The following is a 26,457-nucleotide window of genomic DNA, read 5'->3' as shown; positions in this document are numbered from 1 at the left end:
ATGCACGATGTGCAGATGTACCACTTCTGCCTGAACAAAGCAACATATGCTGTATAAGCTATGCTGCTATCCTGGGCAGGGACACCCCTGAGGAAGGACCATGGTGCGCGCAGTCAGCAGACTGTAGAGACAGGAGGGTTTCAAGCAAGATTTCGAGCCACAGAGGGAAATAGTGGGATTTTGGCACAGACTCTGTGCTTTAGGAAGGAGAAGTACTCTGGGGTCCCAGGAAAGAGGGAAAGCAGCGTCTCTGAGAAGTTGTGCATAGCCCCAGATGGGGTAATAATCCCTTAGTCACTTGTCTGGAGCCTCCTTGACACCAGCAACTGTGTCTCATCCATTGTACCCCCAGCGCCTAGCCCAATCCTGTTCTCTTGAATTCACACCTCACCAACCCCATGAACATTCAGAGCTGGGGCAATGAATGATGCCCAACACCACAGACCATGCATGTGGTAAGGTTAGCCAGGGTCACAGAAGGACCTAGGGCTTCACCAGATGACCTCTGCATGGGTGCAGACTTTCCAGGTCATTCCATGTTGCCCCATAACACACTAACTCTGCCATGACCAGGTGGAATCTATAACGCCCCAGGAGCAGAGGCAGCAACCAGGAGACCTGGTGGAGTAGAAATGAGGAACTGCTCCTAAGCTGGGGAGACCTGCTGCTGCTGTTGCTGGCTGATAAGAGGCCCATAGAGAAGAAGCATGACCCTCCCATCCTCTCAGGTTCTATTTCCAGAGGTACTTGTGCTCAGCTTCATTCTCCTACTCTTCCTCCCCCATGATGCCAAGTAAGAGCTCAACCCAGCTGTTAATGGTAAGACATTATTTCTATGCAATGTGGGTAATTCTGATTAGCTGGGCAATCTGACATACAGGAGTGTGAAGGCAGGATTCAGGGCCTCTCAGGGCAGAAGGCTCTGATTACTTTGTTGAGAATCATCCACTACAACAAGGGATTCAGGATGAGAGAGGAGGCAAAGTGGTGTTTCCATAGCTGGAAGGGAACTTTGACCTTGGGAACCATCGGAGGGAAACATGGGCTAAAGTGCAGGCAATGTGCATGATACCCAGGAGGAGCTAGCAATCCCTTGGGTCTGGTATGTATGGAGGGGGAGACTTGCTGGTCCAGCTCAGCACTGGTTTTGCTGGGATGCAGATTCAGTGTGAGAAGAAGCTGTGCCCTAGTTCACTTGAAGCCACACTTCTCCAGCCCTGTGTACAGGCTGCATTAGTGAGGATGAGCCAGGACTGCCCCAGCCAGAGCCTAATGGTAGACAGGTTTCTTAGTAGTAACCTCCCCATAAAGAAAACTCAATTCTGGAGTCTTCATAAATCATATGAAGGCAAAACACTGGCTGTGGAGGCAAAACACTGGCCCTGGTGCCTGGAAACCACTGGCTTTGCGATGCTGCCTCTGGAAACCTACCTCCACTCATCCTTCTCTCCATCTAGGGGTGGACCTGATCCTGTTTGTGGTCCCAGGTGGCATGGACCAAGACATGGTGGAGCTGGTGCCTTGTGTGCTTTAATCCTGCATGGTCATGGTATCTCAGCCTCAGCAGGTGTTACTGAAGTGATATTTACCACTATCTTCCATGTGAAGAGTTTTGGAGCATTGGAGAGTGGGAGAACTCCAAGAGTGATGTTCCCAAGTCTTAGAGTCTCAGGAGTAAGGTTTCCTTATGAGGATCCAGATCTCTGAAACCAATAACATACATGGCATTGGGTTAGGATAGCAGCATCTTTGTCACCTAATGACTGCTGGAAGTCGACCTCTCTGTGTGGTGCTGATACAGTACCTAGAAAAACAGCATCCCGTGGACACTTCAGAGTGAAGAGGAGAAGAGAGAAGGTCCCCAGGGGCTCACCAGGGCTGAGTCCAGGTAGTCACACTTCCACATCCCACCTCCCCAACCCGTCTACCATCAGAGAAGGCTGGTTGGTTCTTGTGTTTTTGTCTTGCTGTCAGAAAGAGCCAGGGTGAGCCCATGGAGGGAAATGTGAGGGATTTCGAAGGCAGGGTGTAGCCACGATTAACTGGGGGAGTGATAGTTGGTACGGAGCACCAGATGAAATGACTAAGGGCCCCTCTGGGTTAAGAGCAGGACATGGTTCCATCACTGTGATCCAGAACCTCCTATTCTTGGATCAAAATGTTTCCAGCATCCTGGGTTCTTGTAATCTCCCAGGATAGGAATCAAGAGAGATCACCAGACACAGCAGCATAGAGAAAGTTTATTTTAGCTTGTGCACAAGGAAGCTGGCACTGAAGAAGAAAAGAATGGGCTGCTCCTTGAGGGCAGTAGTGTGTGGGTTAGTTTTATAAAGGCTTTCTATGGGGAAGGGTTACATTGGGGCAGGTGTAGGAGAGTTTTTCTAGTGCTTGCACAGTGGCTCAACATGCTTCTTCATATATTATATGTAGCATTAGCATTTTAAATCACCACCCCAGGGGTGATTTTTAGCATTAAAATGAAGAAGGGGTAACTATAGGTTGGAGTTTAAATGTAACTGCACATTTGGGTCTCCAAGGAAGTCCCTAGACCCCCGAAATAGGAGCTTATGGTTATAGCAGTTATAGCTTCTTGGGTCTTCTGTTACTGATTGGCTGGGAGTTAGATAAGCAAGAGCCTGACTGAGGGGCTTTTTTTTTTTTTTTTTTTTTTGAGACAGAATCTCGCTCTATCCCCCAGGCTGGAGTGCAGTGGCATGATCTTGGCTCGCTGCAACGTTTGCCTTCCAGGTTCAAGCGATTCTCATGCCTCAGCCTCCCGAGTAGCTGGGATTACAGGCACCCACCACGACGCCCAGCTAATTTTTGTATTTTTAGTAGAGACGGGGTTTCACCATGTTGGCCAGGCTGGTCTTGAACTCCTGACCTCAGGTGATCTGCCCACCTCAGCCTCCTAAAGTGCTGAGATTACAGGTGTGAGCCACTGTGTGGGGCCGACTGAGGGGCTTTTATCATTTTCCTCCAGACCATCTTAACATAGGAACCTAGCTAGCCTGCCTGTCTCAAATCCTTCCTAAATGGGCCAGATGTAGAACTGTGTTGGCACCTCTGCTTTCCTCATCATTACTCCTAGCCTTTTCCTGTGCTTGCAGGACAAAACTTGGAGGGCACTGGGGCAGGCAGTGAGCAGAGCCTGGCTGGTTGTCCCCAGGAAGGAAGGGGGAGGTCCAGGCCATAAGGGCAAGGTGTCATCTCTGACCAGAGACAGAGTTCTTCTCTGAGGACGCAGGGCAGAGTTCTTCTTCCCGAGGCCATGGGTAACTTGGCCTCCACAAATAAAGGCTGAGGAAGAGGGATGAAACTGGAGGCTTACAGCAGGAATGTCCAGGGAGGGCAGAGGGAAGGGCAGGCAGTCAGTTCAGGACATCACAGACATTCATGGCCAGAGTGTAGAGAGGCTGAAGAAGGTGGGTTTTCTGGAAGACTGTCCCAACCTCTCACGGGCCAGCTGGGCATCCAGGCATCTTCTACCTTACAAGGTAGACCAGCAGAATAGGCACCATTTAGAGATTTAGAAATGCAGTTTTCCAGACCTCACTCTAGACTTTCTGACTCTACGTTTAACCAGAACCCCAAGGCGACGTGTGTGCAGGAAAGTTTGAGAAACCTTATTGAGAGGAGGAGTTCTGGCAGGGCTGGTGGGAGGACACCCCACTAACAGGCAGCATGCAGGGGCTGCCGTGGAGGTGACGTCACACCACATGGTGAGTTGGGGAAAGAGAGAGGCAATGAGCTCCATCTGGCAGTGCTGAGTTTGAGGGGGCTGCTGGAGGGGGCTGCTCAAGACAGCAGCTGCACCTCTGAGCCTCTGCCTCTGCATGGGGCACAGGTTAGAGCCAGAGACATGGATTTGGAGCCCTCAGAAAAGACGGGGACATAGAAGCTGTGAGACTGGATGAGATCACCTAGAGCAAGTGGAGAGTGGGAAGAGGGCCTAGAATGGAGGTTAAGGGGATGCCTGCATATAAAGAGCAGCCAAGGGGAGGAACTTGGCAGAGATTTCAGCAGTCAGTGGCCTAGGGGAAATCCCAGCTGAGCCGGGGGACACAGAAGGGTCAATAGGATTGAATGGCATGGAGCAGTCAGGAGAGCACCAGACAGGGTCCATGAATTTCCAAATTAGGCCATGAGAAAATGTTATATTAAAAGGGCAATCAAAAGTGGAGATAGGCCAGGCGCATTGGCTCACACCTGTAATCCCAACATTTTGGGAGACCAAGGCGGGAGGATTGCTTAAGCAGGAGTTTGAGACCAGCCTGGGCAACATAGTGAGACCGTGTCTCTACAAAAATTACAAAAATTAGCCAGGCGTGGTGGTGCATGCCTGTGATCCCATCTGCTCAGGAGGCTGAGGTGGGAGGATTGTTTGAGCCCAGAAGGTCAAGGCTGCAGTGAGCTGAGATTTCACCACTGTGCTCCAACCTGGGCAACAGAGCAAGACCCTGTCTCAAAAAAAAAAAAAAAAACAAAACAGTGGAGATAGTGGAAAGAAAACTTAATGCCTTTTTAAAAATATAGTTTGGGAAGTGGCTATTAAAAGGACAGTCTATCAGCAGAAGTGACAGTCTATCACTGCAGAAAGTTAAACAGAGCTGATAGGGGAAGCCGACGAACTTGTTGACTTCTGTTTTCTGTGTACAACTGTGGAACAAATAGGGAAGACAAACAGCTGGCTGCTAACTTTGATCACATAAATGGAAGTTAAGGAAAACTGGATCATAAAAGTGATGGATAAGGAAAAAACAGTGCTAAACCATATCTTAAAATATTTTGCTTATTTTTCTCAAAACATTATATATATATGTCATGTTAAAATAGTTTAATAATATTAGTTTTTTTAAAAAAAGACATTAGATTTACCACAATTTTTTAATGGGGGTAGGCATTAGGAACTGGATTGTGATGATGGCTGCACAATTTGGGGAATTTACTAAAAATCATTGAATTGTGCACTTAAAACATGAATTTTCTTCCTTTCGTTCTTTCTTCCTTTCTATCTTCTGACAGGGTCTTGCTCTGTCACCCAGGCTGGAGTGCAGTGGCAAGATAATAGCTCACTGCAGCCTCAATCTTCCAAGCTAAAGTGATCCTCCCACCTTAGCATCCCGAGTAGCTGGGACTGCAGGCACACACCACCACGCTGGGCTAGTTTTGTTTTTTGATTTTTAAATAGAGGTGAGGTTTCTTTTTGTTGCCCAGGCTGGTCTCGAACTCCTAAGCTCAAGTGGTCCTCCCACCTTTGCCTCCCAAAGTGCTTGGATAACGGGTGTCAGCCACTGTACCTGACCTGTAATATTTTTCTGTGCTTGGAAAGTCTTTTGTTGGTCATCTATGATACTTCTCTACAAAAATACAGATGTATAACTTGAGATGAAAGATTTTCTCTTGTTCTCCTGGGACCATACATCTCTGAATATTAAACTCTTTTTTTCTTTTGGATGAAGTTACCAATACAACTTTTAATCACATGTAAGCAAAATAACATAAACATATTACAAATTTTGGTAAATAATAATAATTATTATTGTTATTTTTGAGATGGAGTCTCGCTCTGTCGCCCAGGCTGGAGTGCAGTGGCGTGATCTTGGCTCACTGCAACCTCCGCCTCCCAGGTTCACGCCATTCTCCTGCCTCAGCCTCCCAAGTAGCTGGGACTACAGGCGCCCGCCACCACGCCCGGCTAATTTTTTGTATTTTTAGTAGAGATGGGGTTTCACCGTGTTAGCCAGGACGGTTTCGATCTCCTGACCTCATGATCTGCCCGCCTCGGCCTCCCAAAGTGTTGGGATTACAGGCGTGAGCCACCACGCCTGGCCAATAATTGTTAAATGAAAAATAAAATGGAAATGCATCTCTTAATGAGGTAGATGGAGCTTTTTTAAAAAAAGTTTATTTGTGTATCCATTGATGAAAATTACATATTTTAGACTGCAACAGGAATTAGGGTCAATTGTCTTTCCGCTTTTCATTTTGTTGATGTAAGAACAGAGCAACCTTGCTTAGCTACGTAATCAAACATTGATGGAAATGAAAGTGTTTTATTATAGCAATGTCACTCACATTTTTGAACTCTTTCTGAAATGTGTTTCAAAAAGTACATAGTGATCTATCATGAAAAATTATTTTTAATCATATATTAGCTGACAATTTGATTAGATCCTCCTTCAACTTTATTGAAAGCAAAGAACTGGAAACCACTTAGCTTGAAAACAAATTTTTTCTTATGCATTCATTAATGTCATTCACCCTCCACCATTGATAGCAATACTTCAAATTGTCCTTCCATTTAGTCCCCTGGAGGTGTTTTTTTTTTTTTTTTTTTTTAATTACCAAGCAATGAAATCTTACAGTGCAATGAAATATTCAGGATAAGTGAGAGGTATAGTTTTACTTTTGTAATAAAGAGAAAAAGGACTATTGTGAAAAAAGAATCTACATGAAGCCTCAAATGCTAGTTCCTTCCCAGGCAGAGCAGCTCTGGGAAAGATTAAATATAAAGTTGAGCATCTGGGAGCTGATCCTCCTGAAGCTATCTATACCATGTACCCCTTGGAAAGTCTTCGCATACAGATTCCATAGCCTGAAGAGTGATGGTGGAAATGCCACCCTTTGATGGAGTCTGGAGAGGGAAAGGGGAGAAAGAGAGAATAGCAGCTAGCAGAGAAAGCTGGGTGGAAAGTTTATTTTTAGTCTGGGACAATGAACTAGTCATCTATTGTGGCATAACAAATTATTTCAAAACTTGACAGCTTAAAACAACAAATATTTATTCTCTTGAATCGTTTCTGAGGGTCAAGAACCTGAGAACAGTTCGTCTGGGTGATTGTGGCTCAGAGTCTCTCATGAGGCCTGGTGACCACTTTCCGTTGGTTCTCCTAATACGTCTTATGCCCGCAGCAATGCTGCCAACTTCTTCAGCTCACCTGCCAGCCAACCTTGGTTCACCTGTGTTTCCATATGTTTTTCTTGCTTTTACAGCCACTGGGGACCAGCTCTGGCCAGGACAATTCCGTTTGCCATGATGTGGGTTGAAATCACAACTTCTCCCGGGCGCAGTGGCTCACGCCTCTAATCCCAGCACTTTGGGAGGCCAAGGTGGGTGGATCACAAAGTCAGGAGTTTGAGACCAGCCTGGACAACATGGTGAAACCCCGTCTCTACTAAAAAATACAAAAATTAGCTGGATGTGGTTGCGGATGCCTGTAATCCCAGCTACTTGGGAGGCTGAGTCAGGAGAATCACTTGAAACCAGAAGGCGGTGGTTGAGTGAGCAGAGATCGCGCCACTGCACTCCAGCCTGGGCAACAAGCACAAAACTCCATCTCAAAAAAAAAAAAAAAAAAAGAAAAGAAAAAGAAAAGGAAATCAAAACTTCTTCTATGACATTTGAACTCCCTGTGAAGTTTATCCTGTGTTACAGTTTTTCTCTCAGTCTTAGAGTATCCTTTAGTGTCCTCTTCATAATTACTCTCCTATCATAACTCACCTATCATCTAATACTTTTTTTTTTTTTGAGATGGAGTCTCGCTCCATCACCCAGGCTGAGGTGAAGGAGTGCAATCTCAGCTCACTACAACCTCCGTCTTCTGGGCTCAAGAGACCCTCCTACCTCAGCCTCCTGAGTAGCTGGGATTACAGGCGTGTGCCACCACGCCTGGCTAATTTTTTTGTATTTTTGGTAGAGATGGGTTTTCACCATATTGCCCAGGCTGGTCTCAAACTCCTGAGCTCAAATGATCTGCCCACCTTAGCCTCCTAAAGTGCTGGGTTTACAGGCGTGAGCCACTGTACCTGGCCTAATACTCCTTTAGAGTGAAATGTCTTCCTCTGATATAGCCATAAATGCCTATATTTAGTTCTGATAGACTTGTAGATGATAATCTTCTTCTAACCTCTGATTTATTATCCTACTAGAAAGTTAAGAATTGGAATGTTCATTCTCAGGTTCTGGGGAGGATTTTCTTTGGGGGCGTGTTATATTATTTTGTAGGAAATGCCATTTTGTTATATGGAAAAAAAAATCATAGCTTGAGCTCCTCCAACAAAGTGTTGTAATTTAGAAATTCTTAGGAAACTTCTCATAATGAATCAATTAAAAATTAATAACAATATAGCCAACTCTATGTTGTCTACAAGATACACACGTTAGATTCAAAAATACAAATAGATTGAAACTAAAAGGATAGAAAAAGATAAATCATGTAAACAGCAACCACAAGAAAGCTAGAGGGGCTGTACTGACATCCGAAAAAATGGATTTAAAACAAAAAAGTGTTAGTAGAGATAAAGAGGGATACACTGTCATTAGAAAAGAGCCAATCTGCCTGGCGCAGTGGCTCACACCTGTAATCCCAGCACTTTGGGAGGCCCAGGCGGGCAGATCACGAGGTCAGGAGATCGAGACCATCATGGCTAACATGGTGAAACCCCGTCTCTACTAAAAATACAAAAAATTAGCCAGGCGTGGTGGCGGGCGCCTGTAGTCCCAGCTACTCGGGAGGCTGAGGCAGGAGAATGGCGTGAACCTGGGAGGCGGAGCTTGCAGTAAGCCGAGATCGCGCCGCTGAACTCCAACCTGGGTGACAGAGCGAGACTCCTTCTCAAAAAAAAAAAAAAAAGAAAAGAGCCAATCCATCAAAAAGATATGACAATTACATATGTATATGCACCTAACTACAGAATACCAAAATATGTCAAACAAAAACTGACATAAATGAAGGTAGAAATGGAAACTGTAATAATAATAGTTGAAGACTTCAATACTCTGCTTTCAGTAATGGATAGAATGACTAAGCAGAAGATCAACAAGGAAATAGAAGACTTAAATAATACTATAAACCAAATGCACCTAACAGACATCTATATTAACACTCTACTCAACAACAGCAGAAGCAGAATACACATTCTTCCCAAATGCCTATGGAACGTTCTCTAAGACAGACCATATGCTAGCCCATAAAACAAACCTCAATAAATTTAAAAGGACAGAAATAATACAAAATATGTTTTCTGGTCGCAATGGAATGCAAATAGAAATCAATAACACAAGGAAAGTTGGAAAACTCACAAATATATGGAAATTAAACAACACACTCCTCAATAACCAATGGGTCAAAGAAGAAATGAAAATGGAAGTTAGAAAATACTTTGAGATGAATAGACATGAAGATAACATGAAAACTTGTAGGGTACAGCAAAAGCAGTGATTAGAGGAAAATTTATAGCTATAAATGCCTATATTTAACAAGAAGAAAGATCTCAAATCAATACATTAAAAAACTGGAAAAAGAAGAGCAAACTAAACAAAACAAGCAGAGGAAGGAAATAATAAGTATTAGAGTGGAAATTAATGAAATAGATAACAGAAAAACAATAGGGAAAATTAAAGAAACCAAAAGCAGATTATTTGAAGTAATCAGCAAAATTGACAAACCTCTAGTCAGAGGTTTGACCAAGAGAAAATGAGAGAAAACTCAAATGACTAGAATCAGAAATGAAAAAGGGGGCATTACTACCAAGCATACAGAAATAAAAAAGATTAAAAAGAAATACCATGAACAATTGTATTTGAATAAATTAGATAATTTAAATGAAATAGACATTTCCTAGAAAGACACAAAGTCCCAAAACAGACCCAAGAAGAAATAGGCAATCTAAATAGGCCTAAGTAAAGAGATTAAATTAATAATTAAAAAACTAGCTTTTTCCAAAGTGAATTCAGGGCCCCATTGCTACTTACGCTATATTTTGACATACATTTCCTTTCTTATTTTGTAAACTTCCTGGAAAGCCATCTTCACTGTCTCTCCTAGTTTCTGCATGTGTGATTGGTAGTCATGGAAGTGACACACAAAGTAAGCCAGAAGTTTGGTGGAACGTGTGAGAAACTGTTTTGTGCTTTTATGGATGTCATACTTGACAATACATGTATAAGTTACTAATACATGAATTGATGCTAAATATATCTTCCATTTGAATTCCTTTCGGATAAAGTTATTTCTTGACGTGAAAAAAAAAAACACAAAAAACCAGCCTGGCCAACATGGTGAAACCCCGTCTCTACTAAAAATACAAAAATTAGCCAGGCGTGGTGCCAGGTACCTGTAATCCCTAATTTTTCCAATGGGATGCTGAGGCAGGAAAATCACATGGACCTGGGAGGTGGAGGTTGCAGTGAGCCGAGATTGTGCCACTGCACTCCAGCCTGGGTGACAGAGTGAGACCCTGTCTCAAAAAAAAATTAATAAGAATATCAATACACCACCCACAAAGAAAAGTCTAGGACCAGGTGGCTTCACTGGTGAATTCTACCAAACGTTGAAACAAGCATTAATAACAATTCTTCACATACTGTTCCAAAAAATAGAAGAATAGGAACACTTCCCAACTCATTCTATGAGACATATTACCCTGATACCAAAACCAGAGAAAGATATCACAAGAAAAAAACCCCAAAACTACAGGCCAATATTTGTTAGGAATATGAATTCAAAATTCCTCAGCAAAATGCTAGCACACTGAATCTAGTCACATATGACAAAAACTTAGGCCAGACACGGTGGCTCATGCCTGTAATCCCTCTTAAAAAACAACAACAAAAAAGAAAAATATTAAGCATTATGACCAAGTGGGATTCATCCCAAATTTGGCAATGGATTATTAGACATGACATCAAAAGCACAAGCAGCAACAACAACAAAAAAAATAGATAAACTAGACTTCAGCAAAATTAAAAACTTTTGTGCTTCAGGGGACATCATCAAGAAAATAAAAGGACACCTCACAGAATAGAAGAAAAATATTTGTAATTTACATACCTGACAGTGGACTAGAATGCAGAATACACAAAGAACTCTTAGAGCTCAATAACAAAAAGGCAAATAATCCAATTTAAAAATGGGCAAAAGATTTGGAGAGGCATTTCTTCAAAGCAGGTATACAAACGGCCAATAAATACATGAAAGATAACTAACATCATTATTCATCAGGGACATGCAAATCAAAACCACAATGAGATACCATTTCATAACCACTAGGATGACTGTAATCAAACAGTCAGATAATAACAAGTGCTGACAAGAATGTGGAGAAATCAGAGCTTTCCTACACTGCTGGCAGGAATGTAAAATGGTGTAGACAATTTGGAAAACAGTTTGATGGTTTTTCAGAAAGTTAAACATAAGTTACCATTTGACCCAGTGATCCCACTCTGAGGTGTTTACTCACCCCTGGGTATATACCTGCAAGAGATGAAAACATATTCAAACAAAAACTGGTACAAAAACATCTTTAGCAGCCTTATTTAAAATAGCCAAAAGGTAGAAACAACCCAAATGAAATGGGAAGCCACCCGAATCAACTGATGCATGGACAAACAAAATATGGCATATCCATACAACGGAATACTTTTCTGGTCCTAAAAAGGGAATGAAATACTGATACATGCTACGACATGGATGAATCTTGAAAACAGTATGCTCAGTGAGAGAAGCCAGTTACAAAAGATCACATACTATAAGATTCCGTTTATAGGAAATGTCCAAACAGGAAAATCAATAGAGACAGAAAGTAGATTAGTTGTTGCTTAGGATAGGGGAGATGGGGGAATGCTGGTGGTGATAGCTAAAGGGTACAGTGCTTCTTTTTGAGGTGATAAAAATGCTCTAAAATTACAGCCGGGCGCAGTGGCTCACTCCTGTAATCTCAGCACTTTGGGAGGCTGAGGTGGGCAATCCCTTGAACTCAGGAGTTCAAGACTATCCTGGGCAACATGGCATGACCCCGTCTCTAAAAAAAAAATTAAAAAGTTAGCCAGGCATGGCGGCAAGTGCCTGTAGTCCCAGCTACTTGGGAGGCTGAGGTGGGAGGATCACCTGAGCCCGGGAGGCAGAGGTTGCAGTGAGCCAAGATGGTGTTACTGCACTCCAGCCTGGGTGACAGAGGGAGACCATGTCTCAAAAAAATTTTAAAAATTTAAAAATACATGCTGTGAAATTGACTGTGGTGATCACTGCACATATGTGTGAGTATACTAAAAACCACTGAATTGCCGGGTGCGGTGGCTCACGCCTGTAATCCCAGCACTTTGGGAGGCCGAGACGGGCGGACCACAAGGTCAGGAGATCGAGACCATCCTGGCTAACACGGTGAAACCCCATCTCTACTAAAAATACAAACAATTAGCTGGGCATGGTGGCGGGCGCCTGTAGTCCCAGCTACTGGGGAGGCTGAGGCAGGAGAATGGCGTGAACTCGGGAGGCGGAGCTTGCAGTGAGCTAAGATCGCGCCACTGCACTCCAGCCTGGGTGACAAAGCGAGACTCCGCCTCAAAAAAAGCAACAACAACAAAACAAACAAAAAACGAAACCACTAAAGTATACATTTTTAACAGGTGAATTGTATGGTATATGAATTATACCTCGATAAAACTGTTACAAAAAAGAATTAATAAAACACAATGGGCCGGGCGTGGTGGCTCACACCTGTAATCCCAGCACTTTGGGAGTCCGAGGTGGGCGGATCACGAGGTCAGGAGATCGAGACCATCCTGGCTAACACAGTGAAACCCTGTCTCTACTAAAAATACAAAAAAAAAAAAAAAATTAGCTGGGCATGGTGGCGGGCGCCTATAGTCCCAGCTACTAGGGAGGCTGAAGCAGGAGGATGGCGTGAACCCGGGAGGCGGAGGTTGCAGTGAGCCGAGATCGCGCCACTGGACTCCACCCTAGGCGACAGAGTGAGACTCTGTCTCAAACACACACACACACACACGCACGAACACACACACACACACACACACAAATGGCAGCTCTGTGCCAGGAAGAAAGCATGGACTTTGGAGTCCAACCGACTGTGTTAATCTCGTTCTCCAAGAAGCAGGCATAAGATGGAAAATAATTTTATTAGAGGAAATACCTGTGTGAGCAATAAAATGGGGAGGCAGCTAGGAAAGGCTGGAAGAGCTGCCAGACCATGATGTAAGTCTGACCCTGGCTGAAGGAGAGCAAGAGGGAAGGTTCAGGGAAGATTCAGGCAAGTATCCTAGACTACCATGAGGTCTAAGAAAGCCTTGGTGAGGCTGTCAGAGAATCCTCCAGCCAACTCCTCTGGCCATCAGAGAACTGTTTGTTTGTTTGTTGTTGTTGTTGTTGTTGTCGTTGTTGTTGTTTGAGACGGAGTCTCGCTCTGTTGTCCAGGCTGGAGTTCAGTGGCATAGTCATGGCTCACTGCAACCTCCGCCTCCCTGGTTCAAGCAATTCTCCTGCCTCAGCCTCCTGAGTAGCTGGGATTACAGGCACCTGCCACCACAACTGGCTAATTTTTTGTGTTTTTAGTAGAGACAGGGTTTCACCGCATTGGTCAGGCTGGTCTCGAACTCCTGACCTCATGATCCGCCCATCTTGGCCTCCAAAAGTGCTGGGATTACAGGCACCCAGCCTTCTGTTTGTATTTTAAGAGACAGGGTCTTGCTATGTTGCCCAGGCTGGTCTTGAACTCTGGCCTCAAGTGATCCTCCCACCTTAGCCTCCTGAGTAATTGGAACTAGAGGAGGGCTCAGAGGAGTTCTGTATCAACCAGAAATGGATCTGCCTTAGAATTCCTGGCTGTGCTTGTCACTGGATGGCAGATGTTTGTGGCAAGCATGCTATGCAGCAATGAACTTCAGAGGGCAACTGAAACCTCCAGTCAATTACACTCCCTGTAGTTGGATATCTGTGAAGCACAGTCTTATAGCTGCCACACCGATTAAGGCTCAAATCCCAGTTCAACAATATACTAACTGTGTGGCCTTGCACAAGATACCCTCCCTGAGACACAGTTGACTCATCTACAAAATGGGGATGATAGCAGTGCCTGCCACATAGGGTCGATGTGAGGATAATGTATATATAAACTGCCTAACACAGAAAAGGCATACGATAAGTGTTCAAGAAGTAGTAGCTATTACTAATATTGTATTTACTATTATTATTATTATTATTATTATTATATCCTTCTAGACTTTATGTACTTCATTAAAATAGTGGACATGATATTCTACATATAATGGGCATTCTGTTTATTTTGCTTAACATCATATTGTATGTCTTTTTCCAAGTTATCATTTGCTCTCCATAAACATTTTGAAGGCTGCTTTGTATTCTATGTAGTGTACATCCCCGAGTTTACTTAGCCCTTCTCCTAATCATTAAACCTTTTCAAAAACAAAAGTTTTTGCTACTTAAAAAAATTCTGTAGTGGGCATTTTTACATAAAATAATTTTTTTCCTTGTATTTGGGATTTTTCCTCAAGGTTCCAGAAGAGGATTACTAGGTTAGAGAGAGTATGAACAGGCTAGAGAGTATGAACACTTTTTTTTTTTTTTTAGACAGAGTCTTGCTCTGTCGCCCAGGCTGGAGTACACTGGCGCAATCATGGCTCACTGCCTCAGCCTCCCTAGTAGCTGGGACTACAGGCATGCACCACCACACCTGGCAAATGCTTAAATTTTTTGTAGACATGGGGTTTCACTGTGTTGCCTAGGCTGGTCTCAAACTCCTGGCCTCAAGCAATCCTCCTGCCTTGCCCTCCCAAAGTGCTGGGATTACAGGCATGAGTCACCACACCCTGCTGAAAGTGTGAACATCTTTAAGGTTCCTGACCCAGGTTGCCAAGCTTGCTCTTCAGAAAAGTGGGGCCAGTTTACATTCTAGCCGGCAGCATATGAGAGTGCTCACTTCACTGTCCCCTTATCCAGCTGCGGGTATCACTTTTGATATTTTTAAATATTTTCTAACTGAAAAGGCAAAACAGCATCTACTTATTTGTTCTGTCACTTTTTTTTTTTTTTTTTTTTTTTGAGACAGGGTCCTGCTCTGTCACCCAGGCTGGAGCGCAGTGGTGTGATTTAGGCTCACTGCAACCACCACCCCTCAAGGCTCAAGTGATCCTCCCACCTCAGCCTCCCAAGTAGCTGGGACCACACGTGCACACCACTATGCCTGGCATTTTTTTTTTTTTTTGTATTTTTGGTAGAGACAGGGTCTTGCCATGTTGCCCAGGACGATCTCGAACTCCTGAGCTCAAGCAATCCATCTGCCTCAGCCTCCCAAAGTACTGGGATTATGGGCATGAGCCACCACGCCAGGCCTGTTCTGTTACTTTTAAGTACAGTTTTTTTCAAATGTTTTTGTGCAGGTGCTATCATATACAAAAGTAATTGTTTTGTGAATTGTCTGTGCACATTCATCTATTGAGATGCCACTTTTTCAATTAATTTATACAATTTAAAAATAATAGACTGGGCGCAGTGGTTCATGCCTGTAATTCCAGCACTTTGGGAGGCTGAGGTGGGTGAATCACCTGAGGTCAGGAGTTCCAACATAGTGAAAACCCGTCTCTACCAAAAATACAAAAATAAGCTGGGTGTGGTGGCACATACCTGTAATCCCAGCTAGTTGGGAGGTGGAGGCACAAGAATTGCTTGCACCCTGGAGGCAAAGGCTGCAGTCAGCCGAGATCATGCCACTGCACTCTAGCCTGGGTGACAGAGTGAGACTCCATCTCAAAAATAAATTAATAATAATAATAATAATAATTGCCTGAGATGCTTCCCATTATTTTGCCTTTTAAGTTTTTTTTTTAATGTATGAGGGAAGTATTTTGTTGGACATATCTATTAGACATTTCTTTTGTAATTTCTTTTGTCTCTTTTAACCTTAGAAAGCCCATCCTCCCATAGAAAACAAATTTTTTAAAGATGGTTCAAAGTGAAACCACGACTGAACTACACAGATAATTTTTTTAAAGTTTTATATGAGTAGAGCCCAATCTAATGATCATCTACTGCAATGCCCTTCTCCAGAAATGATTTTCCTCCTCCTTTTGTGTTCCAGGGCCCAGATATTCACTATTAAGTGTCCAGGAAGGATCTTTCTTATATAAAGGTGCTTCTGAGGACTTCCAGAGTTACAATGGAGGAGGAATCGGGGGAGGAACTGGGGCTGGACAGGTCTACTCCCAAGGATTTCCACTTTTACCACATGGACCTGTATGACTCTGAAGACAGACTGCACCTCTTTCCAGAAGAGAACACTAGGATGAGGAAAGTAGTCCAAGCTGAAATGGCCAATGAGTCAAGAGGAGCAGGGGATGGTAAGGCTCAAAGAGACCTTCAAGAGGAAGTGGATGAACTTGTCCACTTATATGGACTTGAAGATGATCATGAATTAGGGGATGAGTTTGTTGATGAAAACATACCCAGAACAGGGGTTTCAGAATATCCTCCTTATATGATGAAGAGGAGAGACCCAGCCAGGGAGCAGAGAGACTGGAGACTTAGTGGAGAGGCAGCGGAGGCCGAGGACCTGGGCTTCGGAGGGTGGGGCTCAGCAGGCCAGTGCCAGGACTTGCGGGAAGCCTATAGGTACACACACGGCCGTGCCAGCGAGGAGTATGAATGCTATGTCATCCCCGAGGAAGAGGATGAAGAAGAAGCTGCTGATGTCTTCTGTGTCACTTGTAAGACTCCAATAAGAGCTTTTCAGAAGGTTTTTGATGAACATAAGGAGCATGAAGTGATCCCACTCAATGAAGCACTGGAAAGTGCCAAGGTAAATAGGTGTCCTTGGTTCTTCTCTGTCTTGATATTGCTTTGGTATCTCAAGTACATACGCAGGGAATAAATCTAAAACGCCTTCTACAAGAGTGAGAGAAGATGTAACATTAATACCTTCTTTGTGATCCTCTGTTGGATAGGATGAAATTCACAAAAACATGTACAAATTGGAAAAGCAGATAATTGAGATGGAAAACTTTGCAAATCATTTGGAGGAGGTTTTCATCACTGTGGAGGTAAGAGCACACTTGAAGACCTCATCAGACTCACATTTCTTCCATCAATGGCTATGTCAAGCAGCTGTTTCTGGTATGAGCTAGAGAATCTGTTTTCTTAGAATGTGAGGGGTCACCACTCCCCCTTCTCTCCTCCCTTCTTTCACTGACCTCCCATAGCACCTGGGCATGGACGTCATGGAACCAATTACCTGTCAGCATTCCCTGCTGAACTATAAGCTCTTGGTGTGAAAGCTGGGTCGTCTGTCTCAATATCCCTAGTCCTACTACATGGTATGTTTCAGAGCAGGCATTTTATACATGTTTGTTGCATGAGTAAATAAGGTAGAAATTTCCCAATCACAATCCCTCTCCTTCACTGGCTTCATTTTCTCCTAATCCCCCTTTACCCAAATCACCAATTGTATGTGATTTAGACCCTTATTCGAATTCTTTTTTTAATGTATACTGTTTTCATCATTCAACTTGATAGACCCTTATTCTAACAAAGATGACTTCACGGTGGCATCATCCAGTGAATTCCCTCATTTGAGCCCAGGTGGTGAAGAGGGGACATCCTTTCTTTTGCCCTTGTCTTTTTGGGTTTGTTTATTTGTTTTGGACCTCTTTTTTTGGGGTAGAAGTTCTTACTGAGAATCCCCGGGTTGCTATCTGGTGCATTGGCGGAGAAACCAGAAACAGTGGAGTTCCATGTTGTTCCGTTGGTTTCGGGAGTTGTTAATTTTAGGCTTTTGGGGGTACCTATAATGTTGACTATATAAAGTCAGGTGTAGACTGTCAAACACTTTTTTGTTGTTCTAAGAGGCAAAATACCCACTTCTGCCAATGATCGCTACTCAAACAAAGGAATATTTTTAGCTCTGCATGCATTTAAAAAATAAATTTATGGCTGGGCACGGTGGCTAACGCCTGTAATCCCAGCACTTTGGGAGGCCAAGGCGGGTGGATCACCTGAGGTTAGGAGTTCGAGACCAGACTGGCCAACATGGTGAAATCCCATTTCTACTACTAATAAAAAATTAGCTGGGTGTGGTGCCATGTGCCTGTAGTCCCAGCTACTTGGGAGGCTGAGGCAGGAGAATTGCTGGAACCCGGGAGGCAGAGGTTGCAGTGAGCCGAGATCACACCACTGCACTCCAACCTGGGCAACACAGCGAGACTCCATCTCAAATAAATAAATAAATAAATAAATAAATAAATAAATAAATAATGTATTGCCTTTGTCTAGTTAGCAATTTCCAGACTTTTCTGAGAGATCAGTAAAAGCTTAGAATTCTAGGATTGGAAAGGAGTTTCTATTCTTTGACAGCCCCTCTCCCTCCCAATCTTGACATGGGTAAGAATGTGAGCCTTGATCCAGATGCCAAGACGACTGAGATAGAAGGTGTGGTGTGGCTCTGTAACTTTTGTCCACTAGTCATATTGGCCCCTAGAGCTACACAGAATAAGACTAGCTCCTCTTTCACGGTTCAGCCTTGACAAGGTATTACAGGATACCCATCCCGTTTTTGGTAAGTGTTCTTTTCCTCAGCTGATATCTATTTCTCATAAGATTAATAAGTTTCCATGCCTGTCACCAAACATGCCACAGTCCCCTGTGTGTGCCCTAGTAGATACATGGTAACCACTATGATGCCAGAGCTCAACCCAACCTTCCAGATGAGGTCAACCAGGACTGAGGAGCTTAGGACTTGCCCTCTCTCTTCTCTTCATGCGGATGCTCTACTTCTATTAATGCAGCTTCGGATGGTACCAACAGGAGGATCTTATATGAATCAACGAAGCCCCAGGCCCATTTCCCATGAAGGTAGACCTTTTCCAGCCCCAATCTTACAAGGGAGGAGAGCTATTGCACTAATCCCCCATGGAAGATACAGAGAAGTGGCAAACCCTTCCACTGCCAAGCATAGGGTAGTGGTAGAAGGGGGTAAGTGTACAACATCGAAGACAAAACTTCTTACATTGGCCGGGCACAGTGGCTGACGCCTGTAATTTCAGCACTTTGGGAGGCCAAGGTGGCAGATCACTTGAGGTCAGGAGTTCGAGACCAGCCTAGCCAAGATGGTGAAACCCCATCTCTATTAAAAATACAAAAAAAATTAGTTGGGCTTGGTGGTGGGTGCCTGTAATCCCAGCTACTTGGGAGGCTGAGACAGGAGAATCACTTGAACCCAGGAGTCAGAGGTTGCAGTGAGCTGAGATCGCTCCACTGCACTCCAACCTGGGTGGCAAAATGAGGCTCCATAAAAAAAAAATAAAATAAAATAAAATAAAATAAAAAACTTCTTACATGCTGCTCTGCCAGCTTACTCTCAGATCAAAGTCCCTTCATCCTCAGTGGCCATCCTTTCATACTCAACACTGGGAAGTTCATCTATTGCCTTTCTCTCTCTTCCACCATTCTGAGCAAGTCCTGTGCACATAGCAGGTGTTCAGTAATTACTCCCTGAATGATTGATAAGATCCTCTTCCTTGGAAATGTCCCCATCATCTGATGAGGATGACATCCATCAGAGCTTGCAGAGCTCTGGGGACAATATAAGCAATATATACTCTATTAATATTAATATTTCTCATCTACTGTGCTCCTGGATTAATATTGTCAGAACCCTCCCTCTGCCCTCTTGCATCTTCTCATCTGTAAGCAGTGCCGCCAGACCACAACCCTTGTTCCTCCTTTGCCTTCATTTCTCCCCTAGTTGATATGATCCTAGTTGATTTAATCTTGATATTTGTATGATCCAAGCACCAGGGAGTGAAGAGGAGCCTCATGAGATGTTAAGAGCTCAGGAGAGAATGATAGATGGGAATCTCTCAGGGAAAATATTTCCACATTAAGGTCCAATATCGGGCAGAATCATCACTGATAATCTCCCTGGTCACTTGTCATGGTGATAGAAGGTAGTTGAAACTGGAACTGGATTGCAAAATGCTGCCAGGAGAGAAAGCAGTGCTTTTGTTTAGATTATTCCTGGAGTCTAGGCCGGAGACACCTATGTTCCAGCACCTCCAGTTTCCATTCCAACTCCCAACAAGAGATGAGAGGACAAAGTAGAGGAACTAAAATAGTTCTGATAGGCACATATTTTCATTTCTCTAATGACTCTAATCAGGCTGGGCGTGGTGGCTCTTGCCTGTAATCCCAACACTTTGGGAGGCTGAGGCAGGCGGATCACTTGAGGTCAGGAGTTCAAGACCAACCTGGCCAATATGATGAAACCCCATCTCTACTAAAAATACAAAAATTAGCCGGGCATGGTGATGCACACCTGTAATCCCAGCTACTCAGGAGCCTGAAGCAGGAGAATCACTTTAACCTGGGGGGCAGAGGTTGCAATGAGCCAAGATCACACTACTGTACTCCAGCCTGGGCAACACTGCAAGACTGTGTCTCAAAAACAAACAAACAAAAAAACAAAAAACAAAAGACTCTAATCAACACACTACATGCGCTGAAATGATGACTGAGATCAACTGTCTTGCAGGAGAATTTTGGAAAACAAGAACAAAACTTTGAGTCACATTACAACGAGATCTTGGAAACACTTGCTCAAAAATATGAGGAAAAAATACAAGCTCTAGGGGAGAAAAAGAAAGAGAAGCTGGAAGCCTTATATGGACAACTGGTCAGCTGTGGAGAAAACCTAGATACTTGCAAAGAACTGATGGAAACAATAGAGGAGATGTGTCACGAGGAGAAGGTGGATTTCATAAAGGTCAGTAATGAAACAAAATGAAATAATGAACATAATGGAAAGAGATGGAATTATAAACGGAAACGACAGTTATGGTTGAGGTAAGCTAGGTTGTCCTCTTTCCTCCTGGAGGCATTGGAATCGACTTTTATGGCCAGCATCCATTTGATTCCACTGGATGATCGTGATGGGGAGGCTGTGGCCCAATCTCTCTGCATGGCTTCCACGTGAGTGGCCAGGCGGACTCACAGCGCAGACTCTCTCCCTCCCCCAGCGCAGAGGCAGCACCAGTCTTTGTTCCTCTGTTCTGGTCACCCAGATACCTGTTCCCTCATCCTGGAGCTAAGCTGAGCAAAAACCGTGCTCTAACAGTTTTTTGTTGTTGTTGTTTTGTTTTGTTTTGGTTTGGTTTTTTTGAGACGGAGTCTCACTCTGTTGCCCAGGCTGGAGTGCAGTGGCGCGATCTCGGCTCACCGCCAGCTCTGCCTCCTGGGTTCACGCCATTCTCCTGCCTCAGCCTCCCTAGTAGCTGGGACTACAGGCGCTCGCCACCAAGCCCAGCTAATTTTTTTTTTTGTATTTTTAGTAGAGACGGGGTTTCACTGTGTTAGCCAGGATGGTCTTGATCTCCTGAACTCGTGATCCGCCCACCTTGGCCTCCCGAAGTGCTGGGATTACAGGCGTGAGCCACCATGCCCGGCCAAGAGTTTTATTATTATTATTATTATTATTATTATTATTATTATTATTTTGAGATGGAGTCTCGCTCTGTTGCCCAGGCTGGAGTGCAGTGGCACGATCTCGGCTCACTGCAACCTCTTCCTCCCGGGTTCAAGCAATTCTCCTGCCTCAGCCTCCTGAGTAGCTGGGATTACAGGCACCCGCCACCACGCCCAGCTAATTTTTGTATTTTTTTTTTTAGTAGAGACGGGGTTTCACCATGTTGGTCAGGCTGGTCTCGAACCTCTGACCTCGTGATCCACCTGCCTCGGCCTCCCAAAGTGCTGAGATTACAGGCGTGAGCCACCGCGCCCGGCCAAGAGTGCTCTAAGAGTTTTCCAGCCACCTCAGATGGCCTCTTGGAGCTCTGGGGAGAAAGTTGTCAAGGCTGAAAAGGCACCTTAAATTTCCCAGTTACAAGTGTAGCAATTAAAAATCTTACTTCACGAACTCAGACATGCAAAAAAAATCCATTTCCTAATTTTCTTGAAAACAAATTAAATCTGACCCAACCCTCTACATGGCTAGGCTATGGGAATTTCAATCTCAGTCAGATTTCTTCACAAGGTGCCACAGGAGGAGGGGGAAGATGTGGTGTCCAGGGCGTGGGGGAGGGGCCTTCAGCCTCCAGAGCTTCCTGGTTGCTAAATATGGCCCCCACATTGTCCAAGAGTACAGTCGCCCCTCAAAGCCCAACCATGCCTCCTTTCTGCTGTGCCTGGGGTGAGGGGCCAGCGAATAAAGCTGGAGAGCAATTTGGCAGGCACTGCAAGAACCATCAATGCTCATACCTCTTGAACTAGTGGGCCCACCATATGCAGAACATGGAGAAAGTGATAAACATGAAGGTGGGCTTCTCACTGTTATGTATGATGGTGAAAAGCTGGAAACAACAAAATGTCCAACAAGAGAAGAACCATCAAGTAAATGATGGCGTTTCCATTCATTAACTGTTCACAATTAACTGTTATGCAAGTGTTCAAGCTGATGGCCCAAAAGACCATTTACTACATGGAAAGTGCTTACATAGTGTGGGTTTTTTGTTGTTGGTTTTTCTTTTGAGACAGGGTCTAGCTCTGTTGCTTGGGCTGGAGGAGAGTGGTGTGATCATAGCTCAATGCAGCCTTGAACTCCTGGGCTCAGATGATCCTCCTGCCTCAGCCTCCCAAGGAGCTAGGACCACAGGCACATGACAAAGTTGATGGGGAAAAGCAGTACTGTGGTATGGAAGAAAATGCACAGAAATAAGGGTGGTTTTGTTACGGTATGGGATACAGCTGGGCTTTTTAACTTTTTCCTAATTTCCAAGTTTTCTTCTATGTTTATGTTATTATATATATTTAGTTATATCAATTATTATATAACTATCTTATATATATGATGTGACAATATGTATTATCACATATATAGTTATATCTATCTATCTATTTATAACAATATGTTGGTAAAAGAAATTTATTTCCAGCCAGGCACGGTGGCTCATGCCTGTAACCCTAGCACTTTGGGAGGCCGAGGTGGGCAAATCACAAGGTCAGGGGTTCGAGACCAGCCTGGCCAATATGGTAAAACGCTGTCTCTACTAAAAATACAAAAATTAGCTGGGTGTGGTGGTGCGTGCCTGTAATCTCAGCTACTTGGGAGGCTGAGGCAGGAGAATCCCTTGAACCTGGGAGGCGGAGGTTGCAGTGAGCCGAGATTGTGCCATTGCACTCCAGCCTGGGGGACAGAGTGAGACTCCATTTAAGAAAAAAAAAAAAAGAAAGAAAGAAAAAGAAAAAAGAAATTTATTTCCAAAATCAACTTAATATTTTCTCTTTTTCCTTTTTAGGATGCAGTGGCTATGGCTGACAGGTAATACATTTGTTCTAGTATGTATTTCTTTTTTTACTTTTTTCAACTTTAGTTATCCAAATAGACTCAGTTCCATTTGGTTATACGGTTCCAGTTTCAGCTTTTGTGTCAATCCTGATTAAATTAGCACTGGCTTTGGAATGATGGTGTGCAGTCACTAGGAGCATCTAGTATTGAATCTCAGGATCTCAGGGCTAGTAGGGAGCGTGTACGGTGAGGCTCAGTCAGCAAGCCTGTGGGCAGCTCTCCTCCACAAGCCCCTCATTTCACCAGAAAGAACTGAGATCTGTGGAGTACCCCCAACATCCCCCCACTATGCCTGGACCCAGACTGTCCAGTTGCAGAAAGTGTGCACATTTTAGAATCAGACAGATAGCAGTTCAAATCCTGCTACCCTCATGACCTTGAGCAAATCTAATCAGTCTAGAAGACACCTTATCTACAAATGAGGATAGCTTTGTGAGAATCAAATAAAATAAATGTCCATAAAGCAACATGAACATAGAGATTTCATAATGTAATCCCTGCAGGGATTTTGGCAAAGATGGAACTGGTTTCAAATTCTTTTTTTTTTTTTTTTGAGACAGTTTCGTTCTTGTTGCCCAGGCTGGAGTGCAATGGCAAGGTCTCAGCTCACTGCAACCTCTGCCTCCCAGGTTCAAGTGATTCTCCTGCCTCAGCCTCCCAAATAGCTGGGATTACAGGTGTCCCCCACCATCCTGGCTAATTTTTTTGTATTTTTAGTAGAGACGGAGTTTCACCATGTTGGCCAGGCTGGTCTTGAACTCCTGACTTCAGGTGCTCTGCCTGCCTTGGCCTCCCAAAGTGCTGGAATTACAGGTGTGAGCCATCATGCCTGGCCCTGGTTTCAAATTCTGCCTCTGCCATTTACAAACCTTGTGACTGCCAGGAAGCAGATACAAGGAGACCCCGAGTCCCATGATCAGCAACTTGAGGGCACTTGACCATGTGGAGAGGAAGCCTGGGGAGTCTGGACCCTCAGTACCTCTTGGGCCTGGAGTGACTTGAGAGTGGGAACTCCCAGGTTAGCACCTAAGAGATCTTCCAGAGGGTGTGGTTCTGGATCTTGTTGGCAGATCGCCCTCTACCCACCCTCTGACATGACCTTACCCTTTCTCCTCTCCCTCAAAGGCACAAACCAATCCCACCCATCCCCATTGATGACCCCTAGGTCAATCTCCAAAAAAGATGGTAGATGGCAGCCAGCAGCTGTTTGTAACTAAATGAAAGTTCAGCAAAGAGCCCCTCTTCATTTATGACAGTGACTCAGCACTATATATATACCCTAAGGAGAATGCCCCTCCATTCTAGTCAGCATGTCTTTTTATACCAACAGACTCGGGAAATTCCTGAAAACAAAAACAGACGTGGAAATCTCTGCACAGCCTGAGTTTGAAGACCAGACCTTGGATTTCTCTGATGTGGAGCAGCTGATGGGCTCCATTAACACCATTCCAGGTGCTCACCTGTGTGTGTACTTCGCGGCAGGTTCAGACTACCCAGAGCTTTTTTCTTTCTTGTGATGAGAACACTTAGCATGAGATCTATCCTCTTAACAAATTTTAAAGTGTACAATACAATATTGTTAAATACAGGTACTGTGTTGTACAGCATACCTCTAGAACTTACCCATCTTGTATAACTAATCTTTGTATCCATTGAGCAACAATTCCCCGTTTCCCCTTCCCCCAAGCCCCTGGCAACCACAATTCCGTTCTCTGCTTCTAAGAGTTTGACTGCTTTATATACTGCATGTAAGTGGAATCATGGAGTATCTGTCCTTCTGTGACTGGCTAATGTCACTTAGCATAATGTCCTCAAGATTCATCCATGTTGTCACAGATGGTAAAACTTCATTCTTTGTTAAGGCTGAATAATATTCCATATGTATACACACACATACTTTTTAAAATCCATCCATCTATTGATGGACATTGAGGTTGTTTCCATGTCTTGGTTATTGTGAATAATGCTGCAATGAACATGGAACACAGGTATCTTTGAGATCTTGATTTCAGTTCTGGTGAATACATACCCAGGAATTACTAGATCATGTAATAGTTATTATATATATATATATATATATATATATATATGGTTTTTTTGTGTTTTTTTTTCAGAGACAGGGTATTGCTATGTTGCCCAGGCTGGCCTCAAATTCCTGGGCTCACATGATCTTCCCACCTCAGCCTCCTGAGTAGTTAGAACTACAGGCACACACCACCACAACCAGCTTATTTTTAATTTTTTGTGGAACCACTATACTGTTTTCCATGGTGGCTGCATGATTTTACATTCACACCAACAGTATATAAGGGTTCCAGTTCTCCACATTCTCACCATTTGTTACCTTTCACCTTTTTTTTTTTTTTTAATTGAGAAAGAGTCTTGCTCTGTCACCCAAGCTGCAGTACAGTGGCACGATCTTGGCTCACTGAAACCTCCACCTCCCAGGTTCAAGTGATTCTCCAGTCTCAGCCTCCTAAGTAGTTGAGATTACAGGCACCCGCCACCACGCTCCACTAATTTTTTGTATTTTCAGTAGAGACAGGGTTTCACCATGTTGGCCAGGCTGGTCTCAAACTCCTGACCTCAAGTGATCTGACTGCCTTAGCTTCCCAAAGTGCTGGGATTACAGGCCTGAGCCACCGCGGTCGGCCTCCTTTCACTTTTTGACAATATCATCCTAGCAGGTATGAGGTGATATCTCATTGTGGTTTTGATGCGCATTTTCCTGATAACTAGAGAGATTGAGCACTCTTTCATATACAAGGTGGCTATTTATATGTCTTCTTTGGGGAAATATCTATTTAAGTTCTTTGCCCATTTTTTAATCGGTTTGGATTTTTGCTATTGAGTTGTAGAAGATTCTTATTTTTTTTGTATACTAGTCTCTTATCAGATAGTTTGCAAATATTTTCTTCTATTCTGCAGGTTGTTTCTTCACTCTGTTAATGGTTTATTTTGCTATGCAAAAGCTATTTTAGTATGATGTAGTGCCATTTGCCTATTTTTTGTTTTGTTGCTTGTGCTTTTGGTGTCAAATCTAAGAAATCATTGCCAAGACCAATGTCAAGAAGCTATTCACCTATGTTTTCTTTAAGAAGTTATACAGTTTCAGGGTTTTACATTTAAGTCTTTAATAATCTATTTTGAGTTTACTTTTGTTCTGGTGTAAGATAGGGATCAAATTTCATTATTCTGCAGGTGGATATAGTTTTCTGAATGCCATTTGTTGAAGAGACTATCCTTTCCCCATTGTGTGTTCTTGTCACCCTTAGCAAAGATCATTTGGATGGGTTTATTACTGGGCTCTCA

The 26,457-nt window shown here is 43.7% G+C and overlaps 1 protein-coding gene across 9 annotated transcripts in view, besides 1 other annotated feature; it reads left to right on the top strand.

Moving 5' to 3' along the window:
- FSD2 (fibronectin type III and SPRY domain containing 2) overlaps window positions 1-26,457 on the top strand; it is a 50,708-nt gene that overhangs the window by 2,707 nt on the left and 21,544 nt on the right. For 4 of the 9 annotated variants that reach the window (NM_001281805.2, XM_005272425.6, XM_047432156.1 and 1 more), the window contains exons 2-7: window positions 6,997-7,113; window positions 15,895-16,611; window positions 16,757-16,852; window positions 20,338-20,568; window positions 23,096-23,118; window positions 24,476-24,597. In NM_001281805.2, the coding sequence (NP_001268734.1) occupies window positions 15,973-16,611; window positions 16,757-16,852; window positions 20,338-20,568; window positions 23,096-23,118; window positions 24,476-24,597 (1,111 nt within the window). In that variant the 5' untranslated portion in view covers window positions 6,997-7,113; window positions 15,895-15,972. Of the gene's footprint in view, window positions 1-724; window positions 820-6,996; window positions 7,114-15,894; window positions 16,612-16,756; window positions 16,853-20,337; window positions 20,569-23,095; window positions 23,119-24,475; window positions 24,598-26,457 lie in introns of those variants that run through there. The other 5 variants (NM_001281806.2, NM_001007122.4, XM_024449844.2 and 2 more) reach the window with 4 other exon arrangements.
- Window positions 20,961-21,126: a silencer, noted in NCBI's record as "fragment chr15:83450989-83451154 (GRCh37/hg19 assembly coordinates)". NCBI's record gives its function as "represses an EF-1alpha promoter that drives an FKBP-Casp9 reporter gene in an ReSE screen in HepG2 liver carcinoma cells {active_cell/tissue: HepG2}" and the evidence as "EXISTENCE:reporter gene assay evidence [ECO:0000049][PMID:32094911]".

Source organism: Homo sapiens, chromosome 15, assembly GCF_000001405.40.
Source record: "Homo sapiens chromosome 15, GRCh38.p14 Primary Assembly".
Classification (NCBI taxonomy): domain Eukaryota; kingdom Metazoa; phylum Chordata; class Mammalia; order Primates; family Hominidae; genus Homo; species Homo sapiens.
The sequence above is the reverse complement of the archived record's forward strand: the minus strand, read 5'-3'. Positions and strand labels throughout refer to the sequence as shown.